The sequence below is a fragment of the Homo sapiens genome, chromosome 22 (assembly GCF_000001405.40).
Source record: "Homo sapiens chromosome 22, GRCh38.p14 Primary Assembly".
Classification (NCBI taxonomy): domain Eukaryota; kingdom Metazoa; phylum Chordata; class Mammalia; order Primates; family Hominidae; genus Homo; species Homo sapiens.
In genome coordinates, this window is record NC_000022.11 from 30897425 (window position 1) to 30921949 (window position 24525).

Genomic DNA, 24525 nt, shown 5'->3' on the forward strand with positions numbered 1-24525 from the left:
ATGTATGCAAAAACTGATTGTGTAGTAAACCCTAATGGAAGCCTCAGAGATTTAGAGCGTAGCATACAGACCACAATCTATAAGACAATTAAGATAGAAGTTACAAGCAAAATGACCAAAAAATCCCAAATATTTGGGAAAAAATTTTAAGTTGCTAAATAACTCATAGGCAAAATAAATTAGAATGAAAAAATGCAAAATATGTAGAACTGAATGATATAAAAGATATTTGGCCGGGATGGTGACTCAACGCCTGTAATCCCTGCACTTTGGGAGGCCGAAGGTAGCGGGGGAGGGCGGGGATCACCTGAGGTCAGGAGTTCGAGACCAGCCTGGCCAACATGGTGAAACCCTGTTTCTACTAAAAATACAAAAATTAGCCGAGCGTGGTGGCACGCACTTGTAATCCCAGCTACTTGGGAGGCTGAGGTAAGAGAATCGCTTGAACCTGGAAGGCAGAGGTGGCAGTGAGCTGAGATCGTGCCACTGTACTCTAGGCTGGGTGACAGAGTGAGACTCCGTCTCAGGAAAAAAAAAAAAAAAAAGATATTTAAACTGGCTGGATGCAATAAAAGCAATGCTTCAAAGGAAATATATTGCCTTAAATCATTTAATGTTGAGGCTTTCTCCTTTGAGTTTCAATTCTAATATTAGAGAAAGTTCAACATAGAAATCCAAAGAAAGAAGAAAATATACTTTAAAAATAAGAGCAAGAGCAAAAGCCTGCGCAACATAGTGAGACCTCATCTCTACCAAAAAAAAATTTTTTTTTTCTTAATTAGCCAGGCATGATGGTACATGCCTGTAGTCCCAGATACTCAGGAGGACTGAGGTGGGAGGATCACTTGAGCCCAGGAGGTCGAGGCTGCAGTGAGTTGTGAACACACCACTGCACTCTAGCCTGTGTGACAGAGCAAGACCCTGTCTCAAAAAATAATAATAATTTTGGCTAGACGTGGTGGTTCATGCCTATAATCTCCTGTATTCCATTTTCACACTGCTATAAAGATACCACCAGAGACTGGGTAATTTATAAAGGAGAAAAGGTTTAATTAACTCACAGTTCTGCCTGATTGATTGGGGAAGCCTCAGGAAACTCAATCATGGCGTAAGGTGAAGGAGAAGCAAGTACCTTCTTCACAAGGCAGCAGGAAAAGAGCAGAGAGTAGGGGAAACAGCTGCTTACAAAACCATCAGATCTAGTGAGAACTCACTCACTATCACAAGAATAGCATGGGGGAAACCACCCCCATGGTCCAATCACCTCCCACCCGGTCCCTCCCCTGACATGTGGGGATTACAATTTGAGATGAGATTTGGGTAGGGACACAGCCAAACCCTATTATCCCAGCACTTTGGAAGGCTGAGGCGGGAGGATTGCTTGAGTTGAAGAATTTGAGACCAGCCTGGGCAATATGGCAAGATATCATCTTTATATTAATAATAATAATAATAATAATAATAAAAGCAGAAATCAATTAAAAAAACAAAGCCAAAAGTTGATTCTTTGAGGCATAAAAAAACTGTCAAAATAGAAAACTACTGACAAGACTGATCAAGATAGAAATAAATATTAATGAAAAAGGTTTAATGTGACATATAAAGTATAAAGACATAATTAAAACTTAGATTGGAGGGACAAATTCTTAGAAAAATATAACAAGAACTAACTCTAGCTGGGCACAGTGGCTCATGCTTATAATCCCAGCACTTTGGAAAGCCAAGGCAGTTGGATTGCTTAAGCCCATGAGTTCAAGACCAACCTGGGCAACAGCAAGACCCTGTCTCTACAAAAAAAAAATTTTTTTAATTAGCCATGTGTAGTCCCACCTGTAGTACACATGTGTAGTACACACCTGTAGTCCCAGCTACTCAGGAGGCTGAGGCAGGAAGGTTACTTGAGCCCAGGAAGTCGAGGCTGCAGTGAGCCATGACTACTACTGCATACCAGCCTGGGTGACAAAGCAGACCCTATCTCAAAAAAAAAAAAAAAAGAAAAAGAACTGACTCTAGAAGAAATTGAAAACATGAATAGTCCTATAATAAAGTAACTGAAGCAATAGTTTAAAAATTACTGTAAGGAAAACACGAGGCCCAGATAATTTTACAGATGAATTCTCCCTATTTTTTCAGAAACATATTATTCCAATTTCATATAAAGTGTTCCAGATCATAGAAAAAGGAAATATTCACCTCTCCTAAACTGTGAGGCCAGGATAACCCTCATACCAAATTAGGCTAAACTAGCAGTAGGAAAATAAAAGTTCTACCCTATTTCACTTATATTAATAAATATATAAGCAAAAATCTAAAACGATATCAGAAAATCCAATCCAACAGTGTATAAAAAAGATAGCATCCTATAATCAGGTTGAATTTATCCTGGGTATATAGAATGATTTTATATTAGAAAATCCATAGAGTAATCATATTAACAGATTTCAATAGATTCAGAAAAATCATTTTAGGTGCCTAGATACAAGATTAATATACGAAAGCCAGTTGCATTTCAGCAAACAACTAGAAAAATGCAATTTAAGATAAGACACCAAGACTGGGCGCAGTGGCTCATGCCTGTAATCCCAGCACTTTGGGAAGCCAAGGCAGGCAGATCACCTGAGGTCGGGAGTTTGAGACCAGCCTGACCAACATGGAGAAACCCCATCTCTACTAAAAATACGACATTAGGCGTGGCGGCGCATGCCTGTAATCCCAGCTACTTTGGAGGCTGAGGCAGGAGAATCACTTGAACCCAGGAGGCAAAGGTTGTGGTGAGCCAAGATCATGCCATTGCACTCCAGCCTGGGCAACAAGAGCGAAACTCCATCTCAAAAAAAAAAAAAAAATTAACAGCATATAACATCAAGGACCTTGTAATAAATCTAATATAATCCAGACCTCTATAGAGAACATTATACAGCTTTAATAAGAGATACCAAAGAAGAGCTAAATAAATGGAGAAAGATATAATGTTCACGGATAGAAAGTATTGTAAAGATGTCATGATTTAAAAAGTCAGTAAATCAAACAAAACCCCAATAGGGACCTTCATGGAACTTGATATTAGAATTTTTAAATTTATATTGAGGAATAAAGGGCCAAGACATTTCTGAAGAAGACCAGAGAGGACTTACCCTACTAGATACCAGGATTTTTATTTTGAAACTCTAATGGAACAGATTAGTGAGCCCAGAAACAGACCCATGGATATATGTACCTCTGATATATGACAAAGGTGGCATATCAGATCTTGTGGGAAGATGGAATGGCTCACCAAATGAATCCCTATGGAAAAAGATGCACTTAATCCCTCCCTCACGTTATAAAGAAAATCAAATAATGGCCTTACAGTAATATTGTTTGACTTATTGTAAACAATGACTTAATAAGTTGAAAAGGATAAATATCTTTTAGACCCTAAGGAAATATTAAGACACAAGCATTCATATATTTGACCATATTAAAATACTTTTGTTCATTGAGAACTTTTACTCACTAAAAGGCAATTTAAAGAAAGTGAAAAGACGATGCATAAACAAACTTGGAGAAGGTAATCATAATATCTACCTACACTTGACAGAGGATTATTATCAAGAATACAGAGTATTTTATCATAGTTAAAAATAAAAATTTTTAAAAGATCACATAAAGAACTTTTTTTTGAGATGGAGTCTCACTCTGTCGCCCAGCCTGGAGTACAGTGATGTGATCTCGACTCATTGCAACCTCCGCCTCCCGGGTTCAAGCGATTCTCCTGCCTCAGCCTCCTGAGGAGCTGGGATTACAGGTGTGCGCCACCACGCCCGACTAATTTTTGTATTTTTAGTAGAGATGGAGTTTTGCCATGTTGGCCAGGCTGGTCTCAAATTCCTGACCTCAGGTGATCTGCCTGCCTCTGCCTCCCAAAGTGCTGGGATTACAGGCAAAAGCCACCATGCCCAGCCCACATAAAGAACTTCTAATCAACAATTAATGTAAAAATAATGGGAAAATGTGCAAGAGTCATGAACAAGAATTTTGCAGAAAAAACATATATGGCCAGTCATCACATAAAAAACATGTATGTTGAAGAAGCTGTAGAGCTACAATATCTCTGATACATTGCTGCTGGCAAAAGTTGTAAATTGGTACAACACTCGGGAAAACAGTTTGGCTTTCCACCAGGCGTGGTGGCTCACGCCTGTAATCCCAGCACTTTGGGAGGCCAAGGCCGGTGGAACACCTGAGGTCAGGAGTTCGAGACCAGCCTGGCCAACCTGGTGAAACCCTGTCTCTACTAAAAATATAAAAATTAGCCAGGCGTGGTGGCACACACCTGTAATCCCAGCTACTCGGAAAGCTGAGGCAGGAAAAGTGCTTGAACCTGGGAAGTGGAGGTTGCAGTGTCCGAGATGGTGCCACTGCACTCCAGCCTGGACGACGAGTGAAATTCTGTCCCCCCACAAAAAAAGATGAACAATCACATAGTCATAACCCAGTAATTCTACTTGTAAAAATATACTCGAGAAATTCTTGCAAATGTACAACAGGACTTATGCATGAGACTATTCCAATAACAAAAACTTGGAAACAACACAAATTTATTGAATGAATAACTGTGGTACATTCGCATGAAGGAATATATACAGTAGCTAAAACTAAACCCCAGTAACATGAAGCAACGTAGGTAAATCTTAGCAATATAAGAAAAAAAAAAAAAACGAAAAAAAAAAAACCAAAAAAAAAAAACAGAGGGTCCCACGGCAGTACTGGTGGCCATGGTTCCCGTAGCCAGAAGGAGTCGCTCACAGAGCCCCACACACAGCATATGTAGGGAATCTACCTTTTAATATGGTTCAGGGCGACATAGATGCTATCTTTAAGGATCTCAGCATAAGGAGTGTACGGGTAGTCAGAGACAAAGACACAGATAAATTTAAAGGATTCTGCTATATAGAATTCGATGAAGTGGATTCCCTTAAGGAAGCTTGACATACGATGGTGCACTGTTGGGCAATCAGTCACTTCATGTGGACATTGCAGAAGGCAGAAAACAAGATAAAGGTGGCTTTGGATTCAGAAAAGGTGTACCAGATGACGAAGCTTCAGGGATGACTTCTTAGGAGGCAGGGGAGGTAGTCACCCAGGTGACTGGGAAACAGGCCCCCAACTGGGCAGCCACTTCAGAGATGGTCCTCCCTTCCACGATCCAACATGGATTTCAAAGAACCGACAGAGGAGGGAAGAGCACAAAGACCACGACTCCAGCTTAAACCTCGAATGTTGTGACGCCCCTCAATGAAGTAGCCGATCCCAACTCTGCTATCTTCAGGGGTGCCAGACCCAGAGTGGAATTCGTTCACAAGGAGCAAGAATGAGCCTGCGGTTGGGAGGGAATGGAACATGGGGGGTTGGAGCAGGACCACAGCCTGGTGAACCCCTGGGCCATGTTCCTGCAGCTTCCACTCCCATACCTGCCACTGGCCTCCCCACAGTGGAAACACAGCTTGTTGTGAGTGCATGCCAGCTGTCAACAAGTGGTTTTTAGTACATTCTGGGCTTTGCTGTATCTATCTAGTGCCTGTTTGTGCGTTTTTTTCTTTCTACCACTGCTTCCCCATTTTCCTTCTGTCCTTTTCCTCCCAGCTCGTTTTCCTAGCAGCACATGGGGTTCCCCAGAGGATCGGAGGTGGCCATGTGGGGGAGTCGTTTGGGCTGCGGTACTGCATCATTTTTCTCCTTTGCTTTCTCTTTTTACTTTAGACATTGGCCCGACTCCAGGTGTTTCCTTTCACTTCCTCAGTGTTTCTCTTCTGACCTGCATGTTGAGTTCTGTATTGCGTTGGCTTCCAACAAAAACCAGAAGTCACTGACAGACTGAACTGCACCTTGTTGGTATTCAGCTGTGATGGACATAGAGAATTGGAGGCACCTTGTTTTCACAACTAGGATAAAAATAGGTGTTGATTCTTGCAGGGTCCTTTCCATTCCTATTGAGAGGGAGCCCTGGCTCCATGACCCCCTCCCAAAGTGGACTGTCCAAAGGGATAGGCTCACACGAGAAACAGCGAGAGCTGAAAGTGGAGACCGTGGAATAGCAGTAGGGAGTCCACGGAGAAAACACAGTGAATGTTCGTAGGCATTCACGTGTTTTTGTTACTGCTTTTTCGAGGCTGTGTCCCAATGAGTTCACTCCTTTCACCAGACATGGTCGAGGTTCCCCTCTCTGGCCAGCTGCAGTGAATGGCCAGCGGGTTTCTTTTCTCCTGGGCCAAGGCACTTTGAGGGTTGGGGGATAGCGCCGGCACTGCGCTTGGCTGACTGCAGCGCTGACACGGTGTTTCCCCAAATCCCTGTTGCCTGTGTGTTTGTGTTTATCTGTTCCTAGTACAGGCAACATAATGAGATACTGTGCTTCCCACCTCCCCTTCAATTCATAGCCAAAATGGGTCTAGAATCTGGCACTTTACTCATTTCCCTTGATAAATGAAATTGTACTGTGCAGAGCTGTCAGGACCTTCAGATGATCGTATAGGACTGTAGCTGTCTAGGTCTGAGGCTGCATCTTGGGGACACACTTGGTTGTTCCCATGTGCAGGGTTCAGCACTTACCTGGGAGTGGTAGTGGTTAGGCTTTTGAGCTTGAACGCCCGCGTGTGAACAGATGAAAAATCCTTCAGTACCCAAATCCCAGTCTTCCCTTTGGGGAGCAGTTGGGGGGTGGCTGGCAGCAAGGGCCTAGGAAAGAGACCCTTGCAGGGTGATGGCAGGGCAGCCTGGGGCGCCCAGTGTAGTGTGCTTAGTAATTGGTCACCAGCTGTCATCCTTGGCTTCTCCTACTGTATCTTTGTTACAAGCCCTCCGCAATCCACAGAACTCTCTCTCCTTCCTTCCACCTGTCAGCTTCTCTGCTTCTGAGATAAGAACCATTTCTGTAACACCAATACTTAAGAAAGACATGCATTATGTGGTGTAATCAAACCTGATGCTTTCAGATCATCTACTTACATCTTCAACATGGATAAGATAAACAAAACAAATGCATCTAAACTTCTGGGCAATCCAGTTGATTTTTAAATGTAAGAATGGAATTCCAAACACAACACATTCAGCTATATGACAGAAAGTAAATCTATGGATATGGTATTTTTTGAAGGATCTTTTCAACAAAAGAAATGCTTACATAATTAAAATATATATATATATATACACACATTAGGAAAGATGGACTAACTACAACCCAAGTAGAGAAAGTATGAACAAGGCCTGCTGGACAGTTATACAACCTTGCACTCAACAACTGTTCTCTTCAATCACATGGAACGTGTGCAAAAACTGCCCATATACTGGGCCATAAAGCAAATTTCAAAGGACTGAAATTATGCCAAGTATATTGTCTGACTCCAAGGCAATTATACTAGAAAAAAATGACTAGAAAAATCCCCATATGGGCTGGGCACAGTAGCTGATGCCTGTAATCCCAACACTCTGGAAGGCCAAGATAGGCAGACCAATTGAGGTCAGGGGTTCAATACCAGCCTGGCCAACATGACAAAACCCCATCTCTACTAAAAATACAATAAAATTAGCTGGGTGTGGGGGCATGCCCTGAAATCCCAGCTACTCAGGAGGCTAAGGCAGGAGAGTTGCTTGAACCCAGGAGGCGGAGGTTGCAGTGAGCGAAGCATCAGGCCACTTCACTCCAGCCTGGGCCACAGAGCGAGACCCGTCTTTTTTTTTTTTTTTTTTTTTTTTTTTTTTAGACGGAGCCTCGAACTGTCGCCCAGGCTGGAGTGCAATGGTGTGATCTCGGCTCACCACAACCTCGGCCTCCTGGGGTTCAAGCAATTCTCCCACCTCAGCCTCCTGAGTAGATTACCTGGGATTACAGGTGCCTGCCACCATGCCCAGCTAATTTTTAGTAGAAACGGGCTTTCACTATGTTGGCCAGGCTGGTCTCGAACTCCTGACCTCGTGATCCACCGGCCTCAGCCTCCCAAAGCGCTGGGATTACAGGCGTGAGCCACCGTGCCCAGCGGAGACCCTGTCTTAAAAAAGCCAGGCACTCCAGCCTGGGCAACAAGAGTGAAACTGTCTCAAAAAAGAAGAAGAAAAAAAAACATAATAGAAAAGAAGAAAAGCCAAGAAATATTAAGCTAGGCAATTCCCAGATAAGTCTAATGTGGCAAAACAGCGGCAGGTTGGCCATGTGAGCATGGGAGGTGTGGGGAGCAGAAGGCAGCTGTTTGCAGCCACTGGGTTCCGCCGGGTGGGCTCACTGGGGTGGGCCCAAGGCCAGAGGGAGTCCTGGACGCGGGGAGCTGGAGGGTGAGGCGACCCGGGAGGAGACACCGCCAGGCAGGGGAGGGCGGCCGGGTAGGTGTGGTCCGGCTCACACCGCAGCCACCGCCACCGCCACCACCACCGCCACAGGGAGAACGCGGAGAACATGTACTACTTCTCAGAGCTGGCCCTGACCCTCAACGAGCACGAGGAGGGCGTAGCGCCAACCGACAGCCGCCTGCGGCCCGACCAGCGGCTGATGGAGAAGGGCCGTTGGGACGAGGCCAATACCGAGAAGCAGCGGCTGGAGGAGAAGCAGCGCCTGTCGCGGCGCCGGCGGCTGGAGGCCTGCGGGCCGGGCAGCAGCTGCAGCTCGGAGGAAGGTGAGGCCGGGCGGGAAGGGCGCCCCGGAGGGGAGGAAAGGGGTGCCCGGGTGGGGGTGCCGCAGGGACGGATTCCGGGGGAGCAGGCCACAAGCCCACCCACCAGCCCACTGTGCCTGCCCAGCAGAGAAGGAGGCGGATGCCTACACGCCACTGTGGTTTGAGAAGAGGCTGGATCCGCTGACCGGGGAGATGGCCTGTGTGTACAAGGGCGGCTACTGGGAGGCCAAGGAGAAGCAAGACTGGCATATGTGCCCCAACATCTTCTGAGCGCCACCCTTGCAACAAATACAGGCGCCTGCACAGCCTGGCCCACCTGTTCATTAATGCACTCAATTTAGTACTGAATGGTCTTTCTCCCAGCCCATTCCCAGCCCTTCCTATTTCCTTTCCTATTTTTTTTTTCTCCCCACACTTTCTTGGGACTCCCACCTTGGAAGGAGGAAGGGCTGACCTGGGTTCTCTCCAGCCCCCAGGTGCGCCGGGTCACCCGTGCCCCTTCATTATGGACCTGGGCCCTACCGGAACCCCTGCCCCAGTTACCACAACTCAGGCCGGCTGGCCCGGGCCATGGGCTGCGCAAATCACCAGCCCCCAACCCAGGGAGGAACTGGCCCCTCCTAGGGAGCCTCTTCGACTTTTTTAGAAAAATGATCTCCATTTCTTTCCAGCCATGATGTTTAGTAAATATTTTTAGTACCGCACTTAGCAGACAGCTTTCCAAGTGTGCTTTCTTGCCACAAAAGTGTCCTGGCAAGAGCCCCTTATTTTTAAGACATCAGGAAGCCAGACCGCTTTGAGTTGGGAGAATTTTGTAGCTCAACATATCAAGTCCTCGATGGTATCTGAGCTGCCCACACCCCCACCTGCCAAGGCCCCACAGAGCCCAAAACAGAAGGGGGCTGCCCCAGCCCAGCAGAGCACAGAGTTTCTGGAGCTCCCATCCACAGATGCAGGAGGGGGTACTGATGGTAACCCCCATGTGGATTTGAGGGCAGCAGTCCCTGGCCTCACCCTAGCCAGCCTGGGTGGCTCCCTAGCCCCAAGAGGCCAGGAAGGGCTGGAAGGCAGGGCCTGCAGGTGCTCCCCGCCCTGAGACCCAGGCCCCAAATCAGCAATAATGAACAAACCCTTGGCCCAGCCTGGGCTGGTGACCTGGGCACCAGAGACCTTGCATCCCTCCTCATCCTAGGAGGCCCCTAGGGGTGCCCCATCTCAGTGTCCCCTGAACTCTTTATTTGCCTAATTTATATATATATATATGAGATATATAAATATATATAAAATAGCTATTTTGCTTAAATTTCTACAGTATGTAAAAGTGAAAAAATGATGAAGACGGGTGCACCTGTCTGAGTTTGGCCCTCATGTGAGCTGTGCCCTTCCCTCTCCTCATGCCCCCTTCCAGCGGCTTCTGCCAACCATGGGGGGCTGGACCACCATGGCCACTGACCCAGCCCCTCAGAATCCCACACTCCAATCCTTTCCATTTCAGTTTAGTCCTAAAAGTTCATCACAGGGTCTTTCTTTCTACTCCAGGACTGGTTTTGTTTTTATATATATAAAAAAAAAAAGTGAAAACACCAATGTGTGAAATGCCTTACAATGCCCACTGGAGAGGCGGGGCGGGGTGGGGCAGGATGGCCCCACTGGGGCTCCTACAGAGCTGTGGAATGTACCTCTCCCCAACACTGTTTTGTTAGCGAGCACCTTTTGACCAGTAATAAAAAACCTTGGCTTTGGAGTTTTCCACTGCCCTGTCCCTCAGTCTCTGTGTATCTGGGTGGAGGGGACTAATGTAGAAGGACAGGTGATAGCCTACAAGGTGGCATGGGGGTAGAGCATGGGGTGAAACAGCAGGGGGGTCAGGGGAACAGAGGAGGTAGGAGACCCAGGAAACTGCCCAAAGGGCTGGGGAGAGGGTCGCAGCTCTGCCAAAGGCTGCCCTGATGCTGCGGCCACAGGGCTGGCCTGGACCTAGCTCTGCTCTTTGGAAGGGCAGTGCTTTAGCCAGGTGGAGACCACCAGCAGCCCCCTCCCGTGTTTCAGTTCCTGGAGCTGTCTAGTGGGAGGCCTCCAGGGGGAAGGCCAGTCCTGGTGAGTTCCATATCACTTGACAGCAGCAGCCTGGGCTGCACTTCCAGGTGAGGGATGGGTAGAGCAGGGCACCCCAGGGGCATCAGGGCCAGCGCTCTCACCATCTGCCTCCAACCCCAGCCCTGTGGGATCTGGGGCTGGCCCTGCACAGCTCCTTCCCTGGCTAGGCTTCCCCATCTGTGGGGAGGTGGCCGCTGGCGGGGGGTCCCGGCTGAGGAGCTGGTGGGGCAGGTCTCACTGGAATAGAGGTGAGGCGGAACTTCAGGATGCACCTGACCCAGAGGGCAAGGGAGGGGACAAAGGCCAGTCTACTGAGGCAAAGAGAGGGCTCTGAAGAGCTTGAACAGAAATTGACATCAGGGCAATGTTTTAGAAAGACCACTCTGACCAGCAGGACACAAGATCAACCTACACTCAGTGGTCTCACATACACCAGCCATCACTGAATAGAAAATGTAATAGAAAAAAAGATCTACGACATAGGCCATCTGACAAAAAGACACAAAACCACAAGGTGAAAGACCTTTATGGACATGACAGAGAGGACCTGAGTTAAGAGGGAAAATACATCTTCATAGCTAGGTTCACATTCAGTTATGTTAGTCCCAAACCTACAAATTCAACATGATCCCTATTAAAATCCTACCAATATAGTTCAAAAGCTTGACAAGTTGATTGTGACATTTATATGAGAGAATAATTAAAAAAAAAAAAAATAGGGCCAGGTGCAGTGGCTCACGCCTGTTATCCCAGCACTTTAGGAGGCCAAGGCGGACAGATCACTTGAGGCCAGGAGTTTGAGACCAGCCTGGCCAACATGGCAAAACCCCGTCTCTACTAAGAATACAAAAATTAGCAGGGTATGGTGGCGCACACCTGTAATCCCAGCTAGTTGGGAGGCTGAGGCAGAGAATCGCTTGAACCTGGGAGGCGGAGGCTGCAGTGAGTGGAGATCGCACCACTGCACTCCAGCAAGAACTCAGGGGACGATGAGGGGACTATGTGGACTTGACCTGCAGATGCCCAAACAAGCTGGAAGCCTCCTGGGGACACAAAGCTTCCTTTTTCTCCACTGCTCTCTGATCACCATCTGGCTGCCATGCAGTGTATTTGTTGATGGTCTGCCCTCCCTACCCCAATGGACTGAGCTTCATGAGACTGTGAGCTTCATGATCTTATACGTTGTAGCATCCCACTGCCTGGCACATAGTCAGTGCTCAATGAATAGCTGTCGAAAGAATCAACACCAGGCCAGGAAGACCAGCTAAAGCAAACGCTCAGTGGGACAACACCTGAGCAGTGGGGGGCGTGACTGCAGTACCAAGTTGGGAGGAGACTCAGAAATGGAACTGGTGAAGAGCTGAGCCCAGGGACCCAGGAAACTCCTGCCTCCCCCAAACTCTAGAGTTCAAATTGCTGCTCCTGACAGACTGTGGGGTAGGAGTCAGATTCTGTAAGTGGGGAAGAGAAGGCCTGAGGTTCTCTCATCTCCAGGGACATGGCTCAGCATGAAGGGAGTTGGGAGGAGAGGACAACGGAGAGACACATTTCAAAGTGGAACAGAGAACAGGACAAGAGACAAACTCAATGCTATTTAAGTTATTGTTTTTATGAAGCTAGCCAGCATGCATAACTTCAGCAACAAAGCCTAATAAAGACAGTGTGAAAATAAAGGGAATATATAGTTCGGTCTCATGGAAGAAAAGAATTTTCATAAATCCAAACAAGAGAACAGCAAATAGAATCTAGCCACATAGAAAAGACTGAACCCCAAGTTGGTAAGCCCATGCCCAAATTAGGTTTACTGCAGAAATGCAAGAATGAAAATGGCTCAATGTTGTGAAGCTTTCCATGGTAAATCATTCATTACATCAGCCAGTCGAAGGATTTCTTCTTCTGGCAATATGGTAAACTAGGTTCCCAGAAAATACTCCTTTGTGGAAAACTAGACAGGTTGGATAAAATTTTTTAAATGTTAAATGCATCTATCAACTGGAAACAATATGAGGAATACTCAAGCCAAAAACTAAGTGGGTATGAAAACCTGGAGAGGTAAGAAAAGGTCTGAAATATTTTATGTTGCAATTATTTACAAAGCCCAATGAGCTTAACTGTAAGTTTTCACTGCCTCAAAAGAGCCTCCAAAGGTAGGGCATATAATAGGAAATTTGGGGCCCCCAAGGGCTATACCTTCAATGTAATGGTGAATCCAAAATAAAATACAAGAAAAATCACTTGTCTTAAAGGTTGGTCCTGAGCAGAGAAAAACAAAATCCCCCTAAGAATTTGTAATCAGGAGTGGACCCTCAGTTAGTTTTGCAGCCCAAATACACACTACCTGAATGGCTCAATGAAACCTCTGACAGAGAACGTAACATGGTCCGAAGTTGGCAATGTTCCCAGTCACCTGGGGGAAGCAAACAAGTCCTCTCTGGAAGATATCCCCTTCATTCTAGGCCTTAGAGAACCTCAGATATGAAACTGCAGGGAAAATGAGCAGCTCACAGTATAAAATCTCCAAACACACAAGGAAACAAGCACCCATGAGCAAGGGCAACCAGAAATAACAGATAGCAGAATCAGACAGAAAACTCTTCCACACAGCAAAATTATCAGATACAGAAGAGAAAATAAGCATGTTTAATATATTTCTAGAAACAGAAAGGCAGCTTGAAAATAAGTGAAGAGTAAATATTCAAAAATACTAAACAAATTTCAAGAAAATGTTTTAAAATCACTAAAAATAATTCAGTGAATAGTTTTACAACAGATTACACAGCTGAAGAGAGTATTAGTGAAGCAGAAGTGAGATCTGAAGAAATTTGGAATACAACACAGAGACACAAAGAGGTGAAAAATATCAAAGGGACGTTAAGACATGAAAGATAAGATCCCACATATGTCTGATCTATTTCAGAAGGAGAAAAGAATTTTTTATGGAACAGAAGCAATCTTGGAAGAGTTATGGCTAAAAGTTTTTCAAGAAATCATGAAAAGCACCAATATACAAAGTTAAGCTCAACAAATCCTAATTATGGTAAATAAAAAGATATCCACAGCTAAATACAACATAGTGAAACTGCAAGATTACTAAGACAACAAAATCTTACAAGCAGATTTTTTTAAATTACCTTCAAACAGCATAAATTAGGCTGGGTACAGTGGCTCACACCTGTCATACCAGCACTTTGGGAGGCTGAGGCAGAAGGATCACTTGAGACCAGCAGTTGGAGACCATCATGGGAAAACAGAAGAGACCCCATCTCTACAAAAAAATAAAAATAAAAACTAAATTAGGCAAAGTGGTATGTGTCTGTAGTCCTAGCTTCCCAGGAGACTGAGGCTGGAGGATTGCTTGAGCCCAAGAATTTGAGGCTGCAGTGAGCTATGATCACATCACTGCACTCCAGCCCAAGCAACAGAGTGAGATCCTGAAAATTCATCTCCAAAGGAAGGCCAATTAGACCGAGAACAGATTAGACTGAGAGCCTCCAAAGGAAGTCAGAAGACAATGAAGTATTACCTCCAAAATAGAGAAGAAAATGTTAGTGTTCTCCTCAGTCAAAATATCTTTTCCACAGGTCACGTGTGGTGGTTTATGCCTATAATCCCAACACTTGGGGAGGCCAAGGTGGAATGATCACTTGAGGTCAGGAATTTGAGAACAGCCTGGGCAATATAGCAAGACTCCATCTCTACAAAAATAAAATAATTAACCAGGCATGGTGGCATATGCCTGTAGTCCCAGCTACTTGGGAGGCTGAGGAGGGAGGATAACTTGAGCCTAGAAGTTCGAGACTGCAGTGAGCTACACAATCATCCTGTCTCTGTCTGTCTCTGTCTCTATCTCTCTCTCTATATATATGTGTGTGTGTGTGTGTGTGTGTGTGTGTGTGTGTATGTGTGTATAACTAAATTTTATTTAGCATATTAAACAGTATATTAAATTTTTTTAAAAAAAATATATAGTGTCATGTGGAGTGAGACTATGATGAGTTAAGATTATGTAAAACTTATCAGGTAATCATTGAAGGAATAGCAATACTAAATTATTTCCAAAGCAGTAGAAGAAACACATTGAATGCAGGGGGGAAAAAGCTCAGTAAATCTAAAGAAGGCAAGAGAGGAGAGGAAAAAAGAATGTAGAATAAAAATCACAAATAAGAGAATACAAATACATCAATAATACATCAGTAATTACATAAAATTTAAGTAATCTAAATGCTTCAAAGAAAAAAATATGGACTAAAAATAAAATCCAGCTATATGCTATTTACAAGAATACACCTAAAACATAAATATATAAACTAAACAGACTCTAGGGCAAAAAATATTACTAGATGTCAACTACTAGAATTTTAAGGTCATTTTGTAGTGATAGAAGGTAAAACTCATAAATTTCTAAAACTCTTATGCACCTAATAACATCTCAAAATGTATAAAGTAAAATGGATAAAGATAAATCCACTATCATAATGGAAGATTGTAATTTATTTCTCCCAGTAATTAGAGCTCAGACAACAAATTATGTTAATTACTATGTAATTAACAAACTTGATGTCATGGACACATATAGGGAATTAAATGTGACTGCAGAATACATATTTTTGAAATGCACATGGAACTTTTATGAACATTAACCATATATTTAATCCAGTCATAAGGCCTCAGCAAATTTCAAAGGACCACATTCTCAGACTGCAATGAAGACAGTTCAAAATCAATGACAAAAATAAAACTGGGAGGAAAATACAGGCTAGAACATTAAGAAATATATTTTGAAATAACTCATAGGTCAATGAAGAAAACAACAGAAATCAGAAAATACAGTTAAAAAAAACTATATATTAAAACATACAGAATACAGGTAAAGCAGTACCTTGAGGAAAATTTACAACATTTAAGACTCATGTAAAAGACTAAAAAATTTTTAAACATCCAATTTGAGTAAGAAAATGAACATTAGAAAAAACTCAAGAAAAGGACAAGAATGGGCCGGGCGAGGTGGCTCACGCCTGTAATCCCAGCACTTTGGGAGGCCGAGGTGGGCGGATCACGAGGTCAGGAGATCGAGACTATCCTGGCAAACACGGTGAAACCCCGTCTCTACTAAAAAATATACAAAAAATTAGCCGGGCGTGTTGGTGGGCACCTGTAGTCCCAGCTACTCGGGTGGCTGAGGCAGGAGAATGGCGTGAACCTGGGAGGCGGAGCTTGCAGTGAGCCGAGATCGCGACTCTGCACTCCAGCCTGGGCGACAGAGCAAGACTCTGTCTCAAAAAAAAAGAAAAACAGAAAAAAGAAAGAAAAGGACAAGAATGAAAATAAAGATCAAATATCAGATATTCATTAAATAGGGCAATAATAAAAAGAACGAAGAAAGCTGAGGTTGGGCCGGGTGCAGTGGCTCACGCCTGTAATCCCAGCACTTTGGGAGGCCGAGGCGGGTGGATCACGAGGTCAGGAGATCGAGACCATCCTGGCTAACACAGTGAAACCCCTCTCTACTAAAAATACAAAAACAAAATTAGCCGGGCATCGTGGCGGGCACCTGTAGTCCCAGCTACTCAGGAGGCTGAGGTGGGAGAATGGCATGCACCCAGGAGGCGGAGTTTGCAGTGAGCCGAGATTGCACCACTGCACTCCAGCCTGGGCAACAGAGCGAGACTCTGTCTCGAAAAAACAACAAAAAAAAGAAAATCGCTTGAACCTGGGAGGCAGAGGTTGCAGTGAACCAAGATTGTGCCACTGCACTCCAGCCTGGGCAACAAGAGTGAAACTCTACCTCAAAAAAAAAGAAAGGGGACATAAATACAGACACCAGAGACATTTTAAAGTAAGAATATATTATTAGAACTTGCCCTGTGGAGACACCTAAAAAATAAATAAGGAATATTATGAACAACTTGGACAATAAATTTGAAAACAGATAAAATGGATTAGTTCCTACAAAAATATAACTTCGCTGGACTCAGTGGCTCATGCCTGGGATCCCAACACTCTGGGAGGCCGAGTCAGGCTGATTGCTTTGAAGCCAGGTGTTTGAGACCAGGCTGGGCAACATAATAAAACCCCATCTCTACAAAAAATACGCACACACAAAAAATTAGCTAGGCATAGTGGTGCAAGCCTGTAGTCCCAGCCACTCAGGAGGCTGAGGTGGGAGGATGGCTTGAGCTCGGGAGGTGGAGGCTGCAGTGAGCCTAGAACATGCCACTGTACTCCAGCCTGAGCAACAGAGTGAGACCCTGTCTCAAAAAAAAAAAAAAAAAAAGACTTAAAATCATTTCTTTTTAAAAATCAGTTAAAAGTAGTCCTAACAGGCCGGGCGCAGTGGCTCATGCCTGTAATACCAGCACTTTGGGAGGCTGAGGCAGGCGGATCATGAGGTCAAGAGATCGAGACTATCCTAGCCAACATGGTGAAACCCCGCCTCTACTAAAAATGCAAAAATTAGCTGGGTGTGGTGGTGCACGCCTGTAGTCTCAACTACTCAGGAGGCTGAGGCAGGAGAATCACTTGAACCCGGGAGGCGGAGGGTGCAGTGAGCCGAGATCACTGTACTCCAGCCTGGTGACAGAGCGAGACTCTGTCTCAAAAATAGTCCTAATATATACACACAAAACTCTACACAGATGACCAAGGAATAATTCCAATCTTACAGAAACTTTCCAAGAGTAGAGGGAAAGAGAGAATACTCCCAAACTGATTTCTTCAAGCTAACATAACCTGCTCACAAAAACCTGACAAACAGTATGAGAATGGACAATTACAAACTAATGTCACTTGTAACGGTACAATTCAAAATAAAATATTAATAAATCTAACAATATAGAAAATCATTACTCCAAAAATGCAGGGTTAGTTTATGCTGAGAAAAACTAAACCATGTAATTCACCACATTAACAAATTAAAGGAGAATGCTACATAGTTATGCTAATATGAAGAAAACACTTTAGATAAAATTCAGCATGCATCCATGATATTTAAAAGGAAAAAAAGGCTGGTCACAGTGGCTCACGCCTGTAATCCTAGCACTTTGCGAGGCCCAGGTGGGTGGATCACCTGAGGTCAGGAGTCAAGACCAGCCTGGCCAACATGGTGAAACCCCATCTCTAGTAAAAATACAAAAATTAGCTGGGCATGGTGGTGGACACCTGTAATCCCAGCTCCTCAAGAGGCTGCAGCAGGAGAATCACTTGAACCTGGGAGGTTGAGGCTGCAGTGAGCCAAGATGGCACCACTGCACTCCAGCCTGGGCAACAGAGTGAGACTCTGTCTCAAAAAATATATAAATAAATAAATAAAATAAAAAGTTTAGCAATAGGAATAGAAGAAAATTTCCATAATCTGATATCTACACACATACACACACACACGCACTTTTCCTGCGAGACAGGGAACAAAAAGAGATGCCCACTTTCCCCCTTTATATTCAACATTGTACTCAGAGCCAATGCAATAAGGCAAGAAAAATATTTATATAAAGTATGAGAATTGGTAAAATTATCACTGTTCACTGATGATATGACCTAAAAAATCCAAAAGAATTGTGTAGATAACAGTCAGTTGATACATAAAAATCAATTACATTTTTATATACTAGCAACAAGCTGTCAGAGAATGTATCTTAAAGTTGTCATTCATCTATAACAGCATTACAAATCATCAGGTTCCAAAGATATATCTAACAAAAGACATATGAGACCTCTAAAGGGAAAACTGTAATACTTTTTTTGAGAGACACTAAAGAAAGATCTAGATTGAGAATTATACCATATTCATGGTTGGGAAGACTTATAAAGGTATCAATTCTTCTCAGTTGAGGATGGATACCATCAATTCCAATGGAACCCCTACAGGTTTTCTCATGGAGCTTGATGATTCTAAAATGTGCACGAAAATGCTAACACCTAACAGTAGTCAAGACACTACTGAAGTAGAAATGTAGCCGGGTGCGGTGGCTCGTGCCTGTAATTCCAGAACTTTGGGAGGCCAAGGCAGGTGGATAGCCTGAGGTCAGGAGTTCGAGACCAGTCTGGCCAACATGGTGAAACCCCATCTCTATTAAAAATACAAAAAAATTAGCCAGGTGTGGTGGTGCGCACCTGTAATCCCAGCTACTCAGGAGGCTGAGGCAGGGGAATCCCTTGAACCAGGGAAGTGGAGGTTGTAGTGAGCTGAGATCATGCCACTGCACTCCAGCCTGGGCGACAGAGCAAGACTCAGTCTCAAAAAAAAAAAAAGAAAAGTAGGAGGACTGCCTCAACTAGATATCAAAATAATGTAAAACCATAAATAAATTAGTATTGGCATAGAGAAAGAGACAATAGACAAATATAACTAAATTAAAAGTTCAGAAACAGATTAATACATAAATGAACATTTGATATATAACAGAGGTAGCACTGTAGATCAATAGTGAAAGAAAAGACTACTCAATGAAGGGTGGTGAGGCAACCAGGTATATGTATGGAAAGAAGGAGAGAAGAGGAAGGGAGGGAATGAAGAAGGAAAGGAGGCAGGAAGGAGGAAAACTGGAGCTCTACCTCATACCATACATGAAACTCAATTCCAGGCAGATTAAAGATCTAGGCCAAGCAAGGTGGCTCATAGCTATAATCCCAGCACTTTGGAAGACTAAGATGGGCAGATCACTTTAGGCCAGGAGTTCGAGACCAGCCTGGCCAATATGGCAAAACCCTATCTCTATTAAAAATACAAAAAATTAGCTGGGTGTGGTGGCACATGCCTGTAATCCCAGCTACTCGGGCCAATATGGCAAAACCCTATCTCTATTAAAAATACAAAAAATTAGCTGGGTGTGGTGGCACATGCCTGTAATCCCAGCTACTCGGGAGGCTGAGGCAGGAGAATCACTTGAACCCAGGAGGCAGAGGTTGCAGTGAGCCAAGATCATGCCACTGCACTCCAGCCTGGGCAACAGAATGAGACTCTGTCTCAAAAAATAATAACAATAATAATTTTTTTAAAAAAATCTACATAGATGGTCCTCAACTGACAATACGGTTATGTTCCAATAAACCCATCATAAGTCAAAAATATCATAAGTTAAAAATGCATTTAATACTCCTACAGGACATCATAGCTTAGCCTAGCCTACCTTAGATGAGCTCAGAACACTTACCTTAGCCTACAGTTGAGCAAAATCATCTAACGCATAGCCTGTTTTTATAATAGAGTGTTGAATATCTCACATCATTTATTGAACACTGTACACTATAGAGTATCAAACGTTTACCCTTGTGGCTGACAGCTGCAGCTCACCGCCACTGCCTGGCATCACAATATCTTATAGAATATTGCTAGCCTGGAGAAAGATGAAAATTCAAAATTCAAAGTGCAGCTTCTACTGAATGGGTATTGCTTTCACAACATCATAAAGTCAAAACAATCCTAAGTCAAACCATCATTAAGGTAGGGACCATCCGTATGTGAAAGACAAAACTATAAAGACTTTAGAAGATAATACAAAATATCTTCATGACCTCAGGGTAGAGAAGTATTTCTTACTTTTGTTTTGTTTTTTTGAGATGGAGTTTTGCTCCTGTCTCCCAGGCTGGAGTGCAATGGTGCAATCTTGGCTCACTGCAACTTCTGCCTCCCGGGTTCAAGCAATTCTTCTGCCTCAGCCTCCTGAGTAGCTGGATTACAGGCACTCACCATCACACCCCAGCTAATTTTTGTATTTTTAGTAGGGTTGGGGTTTCACCATGTTGGCCAGGCTGGTCTCAAACTCTTGACCTCAGGTGATCTGCCCGCCTCGGCCTCCCAAATTGCTGGGATTACAGGCGTGGGCCATTGCACCCGGCCAAGAAGTATTTCTTAAACAAGTTACAATAAAACTATAAATAAAGGACTGATAAATTATTATTCTACATTTTTAATTAAGGATTCCTAGTCCTCAAGACTCTGTAAAAAGAGAATAAAAAAGAAGGCATACCAAAGAATAGGAGAAAAAATCTGCAACACAGATAACTTATAAAGAACATGTCTCCAGAATATACAAAATTCAAATAAGAAAAAGATAAAATAGAAAAATGGGCCCAAATCTTGAGCAAACACTTCATCACAGAAAGCTAAATGGTCAATAAGGCCAGGCACAATGGCTCATGCCTGTAATCCCAGCACTTTGGGAGGCTGAGGCAAGCGGATCGCTTGTGTCCAGGAATTCAAGACCAGCCAGGGTGACATAGCGAAACCCTGTCTCTACGAAAAATACAAAAATTAGCCAGGCATTGTGGCACATGCCTGTAGTCCTAACTACTTGGGAGGCTGAGGCAGGAGGACTCCTTGAGCCCAGGAGGTGGAGGTTGCAGCGTGCTGCGATTGTGCCACTGCACTCCAGCCTGGGCGACAGAGCAAGACCCTGTCTCAAAAATAAATAAAAATAAATAAAATAAATGGTCAATAAATATAAGAAAAGGTGCTCAACCACATTTTGGAAATCAGAAAAATGTAAATTAAACCACACTTAGATACCACTATGCCCTCATCAGACTGGCAAAACATTTCAAGTCTAGCAATATCAAGCACAGGCAACAAAGTAGACAAAGCACTTATCCAGTGCCAATGAGTGTGAAAATTAACACAACCGGTTCTGGCATTACCTAGTAAAGTGGAAATGGGCATGAACTATGACTCTGCAATTCTACTCCAAGGTTTATATCCTAGGGCAGGGGTCCCCAACCCTCAGGCCACGGACTGGTACCAGTCCATGGCCTGTTAGGAACCAGACCCACAGCAGGTGAGCTGCAGGCAAGCAGGCAAAGCTTCATCTGTATTTACAGCCGCTACCCATTACCCATTACCACCTGAGCTCTGCCTCCAGTCAGATCAGCGGCGGCATTAGATTCTCATAGGAGCAAGAACCCTATGTAAACTGCGCATGCAAGGGATCTAGGTTGCATGTTCCTGATGAGAATCGAATGCCTGATGATCTGTCACTGTCTCCCATCACCCACAGATGAGACCATCTAGCTCCAGGAAAACAAGCTCAGGCTCCCACTGATTCTACATTATGGTGAGTTGTATAATTATTTCATTATATATTACAATGTAATAATAACAGAAATAAAGTGCACAATAAATGTAATGCGTTTGAATCATCCCAAAAACCATCCCCCACCCCAGTTCATGGAGAAACTGTCTTCCATGAAACCAGTCCCTGGTACCAAAAATGTTGGGGACAGCTGTCCCAGGGAGAAAGTCCTGCACACATGCAACAGGAGACATAAACAATGCACAGTTGCCAGTCTCAGAGGAATGCATTTAAAATTGTATTATGTTCAATTGCAGGTGTAATTCATTCATTTTCATTACTGTCTAGTATTCGGCAGTGATGTAGCAACCCAAATAACAAAGAGGCTCTCTAAAAGAAAAGACATATATACATAAATTTGCAATGCTTTGTTCCTAAATAAGTATATTTTCTTTTGAGAACCTCTCTTTATTGTTATTTAGGTTAACATCCAGAATACTATACAGTAGTGAAAATGAATAAATTACAGTTACATCCAACAACATGGATGATTTTCTGGAACACAATGTTGAAAATAAAAAAAAAGAAAACCGCAAAACAATAAAACGTTATGTCCATCTAAGTTCAAAAACAAAGCAAAATAAAACACTTAGGGCAAAATAAAACAGGAATACACAGAGCTCATAAAAATATAATGAAGAGTAAAGAAACATAATTATAAAATGAAATACTAAGAGTAATAAACACAATTCAGGATGATGGTGACCTCTGAGCAGGGAGACAAGGGGTCCAGGAAAGACACACAGGGATTTATAATATAACAAGCCAGGTGATGGGTGTTTGATGTATACTTTTTCTGCTTTATAATTTTTTTTTTTTTAAAGACAGTTTCTCACTCTGTCACCCAGGCTAGAGTACAGTGGCACGATCATAGCTCATTGCAGCCTCCACCTCCCGGGCTCAAGCGATTCTCCCACCTCGGCCTCAGCACAAACCCAGCTAATTTTTGTATTTAATGTGGAGATGGCGTCTTGCTATGTTGCCCAGGCTGGTCTCCAACTCCTGGGCTCAAGCAATCTGCCCACCTTGGCCTCCCAAAGTGTTGGAATTACAGGCGTGAGCCACCGCTTCAGGCCTCCTTTACAAATATTTTATACAGCATTCTTTCATAGCTACTCAATGTCTAATTGAAAATAAAAACAGCAGCATAAAGGAGAAAACTCTATGTTTTTTTTTTTTTTATAGAAGGTGTAAAGGCATTTGACAAAATTCAGCCAGTTTCCAGGGGGCACAGCCCACGTTTCATTCTGTGTGACTGCTGCCCCCTGGCGCCCAACTCAGGCAGGACTGGCAACTACCGGTGAGTCCCAGCAGCCGCAAGACAAACTAAAGGAAACCCCAACATTTTAAAAGCCACTTGCCGAAACTCTCACCGCTCAACTCTCACATGCGGATTTCCACGCATATCAGAAACAGCCCGGGATCATTATTCAACATTGTTTCAGAGGTTCTAACTAAAGCAAACTGACAAAATAAATTGGTATACTGGCAAATTTGTATCTATAAAAAACAGGCTTATTAAAACTACCAGAATTCCTAAGACAGAAAGTGAATTATATTAAATCATTAGCTTTTCTACATATTAATAATCAATGAGTAATACAGATGGAAAAAAGTATTCCATCACAATAGACAAAAACCATAAAACACTTAGGAATAATTTTAACCAGAAAGTTATAGAACCCGTATAAAGAATTTATAAAATCTTATTGGAGGACCTAAAAGAAGTCTTGAGTAAATGGAAAGCCATTTTTTATCCTCTGGGGGAGGATTAATATCACAAAAATGTCAATGCTCCCAAAACTTCCATTTAAATTTAATGCAATTATAATTTAAATCCCAATGGAACACTTTCTTTTAGGCAGGGATGGGAACGAACTGGATAATGCGATTAAATATTTCATGTGAGAGAATACATTCTAAGACTGGAAAAGCATTTTTTAACAAGTGAGGGAGACTGATCTATTTAGATGCTGATGACGCCCAAAATTATAGTTTCAGCCAGAACCTCACCCCTCACATCAGACTCACTTGTGCAACTGACCACAGATGTCTCCACTGGCGTCTAAGCGGGATCTCAAACTCAACAGGTCCACACCTGTTGGCTCATTTAGTAAGAGGCTCATTTAATAAGTGGGGCTGGAATAAGTTAATTTCCACCTGGGGGCGGGAGACGCTTGACTCTTGCCTTACAGCTTATACTAAAATATATTCCATAAGGACTATAGGTTGTCTAGTAAAAAATAAATAATAAACATTGCAACAAAATGTAAGAGAATATCGGGGGAAGGGGAGAAGAGAGAAGGGGATTGATTTCCCTAAGCATGATAGGAATCCCCAAAACTTTAAAACATTTACCTTTCAACAAACACCATAAACCAAGCCAAGGACAAACGCATAGAAAACGGACTAATGTTAACTAAGTCCAAGAGGCTTCAGGCGCTTGGCCTCGGGTCAAAAGGGAGACATACAGGCTGGCTCTTCCGGGCAAGAGGAAAAACACGCAGCTTCCTTTCCAAGTGTTCTTCCTTTCAGAGATAAAAGCGCCGACCCTAAGGACATCTGTTCAACGAATGTTTTTCCCTAATGACCCCCGGAAAGTTGGAAAGCCGGGGTAGAAAAGATTTCTTCTGCACTTTGACTTAATTAATGCGCAGCAGCTTGCAGGAAAAAAAAAAAATCCTCGCTTCTCTGTTTCGGGTGTGAGTGGGCCATTGCTC

General features: G+C 43.5%; 1 protein-coding gene, 1 long non-coding RNA gene and 1 pseudogene across 7 annotated transcripts in view, besides 1 other annotated feature; 2 read left to right on the plus strand and 1 right to left on the minus strand.

The window, feature by feature from the left end:
• Positions 1-10389, plus strand: part of OSBP2 (oxysterol binding protein 2) — a 214032-nt gene extending 203643 nt beyond the window's left edge. For 5 of the 6 annotated variants that reach the window (NM_001282738.2, NM_030758.4, NM_001282739.2 and 2 more), the window contains 2 exons: positions 8413-8645; positions 8773-10389. In NM_001282738.2, the coding sequence (NP_001269667.1) occupies positions 8413-8645; positions 8773-8915 (376 nt within the window). In that variant the 3' untranslated portion in view covers positions 8916-10389. Of the gene's footprint in view, positions 1-8412; positions 8646-8769 lie in introns of all 6 variants that reach the window. The other variant, NM_001282741.2, reaches the window with a different exon arrangement.
• Positions 1-24355, minus strand: part of LOC107985544 (uncharacterized) — a 35724-nt gene extending 11369 nt beyond the window's left edge. Inside the window, exons 1-2 of the long non-coding RNA NR_146603.1 lie at positions 24164-24355; positions 13874-14007 (exon numbers count right to left, since the gene is read on the minus strand). This is a non-coding gene — a long non-coding RNA (uncharacterized LOC107985544). The remainder of the gene's footprint in view (positions 1-13873; positions 14008-24163) is intronic.
• Positions 4729-5548, plus strand: EIF4HP2 (eukaryotic translation initiation factor 4H pseudogene 2; annotated as a pseudogene).
• Positions 5817-5916: an enhancer, noted in NCBI's record as "active region_18846". NCBI's record gives its function as "activates an Ori minimal core promoter by ATAC-STARR-seq in GM12878 lymphoblastoid cells {active_cell/tissue: GM12878}" and the evidence as "EXISTENCE:reporter gene assay evidence [ECO:0000049][PMID:35858748]".
• Positions 24356-24525: the final 170 nt, after the last annotated feature.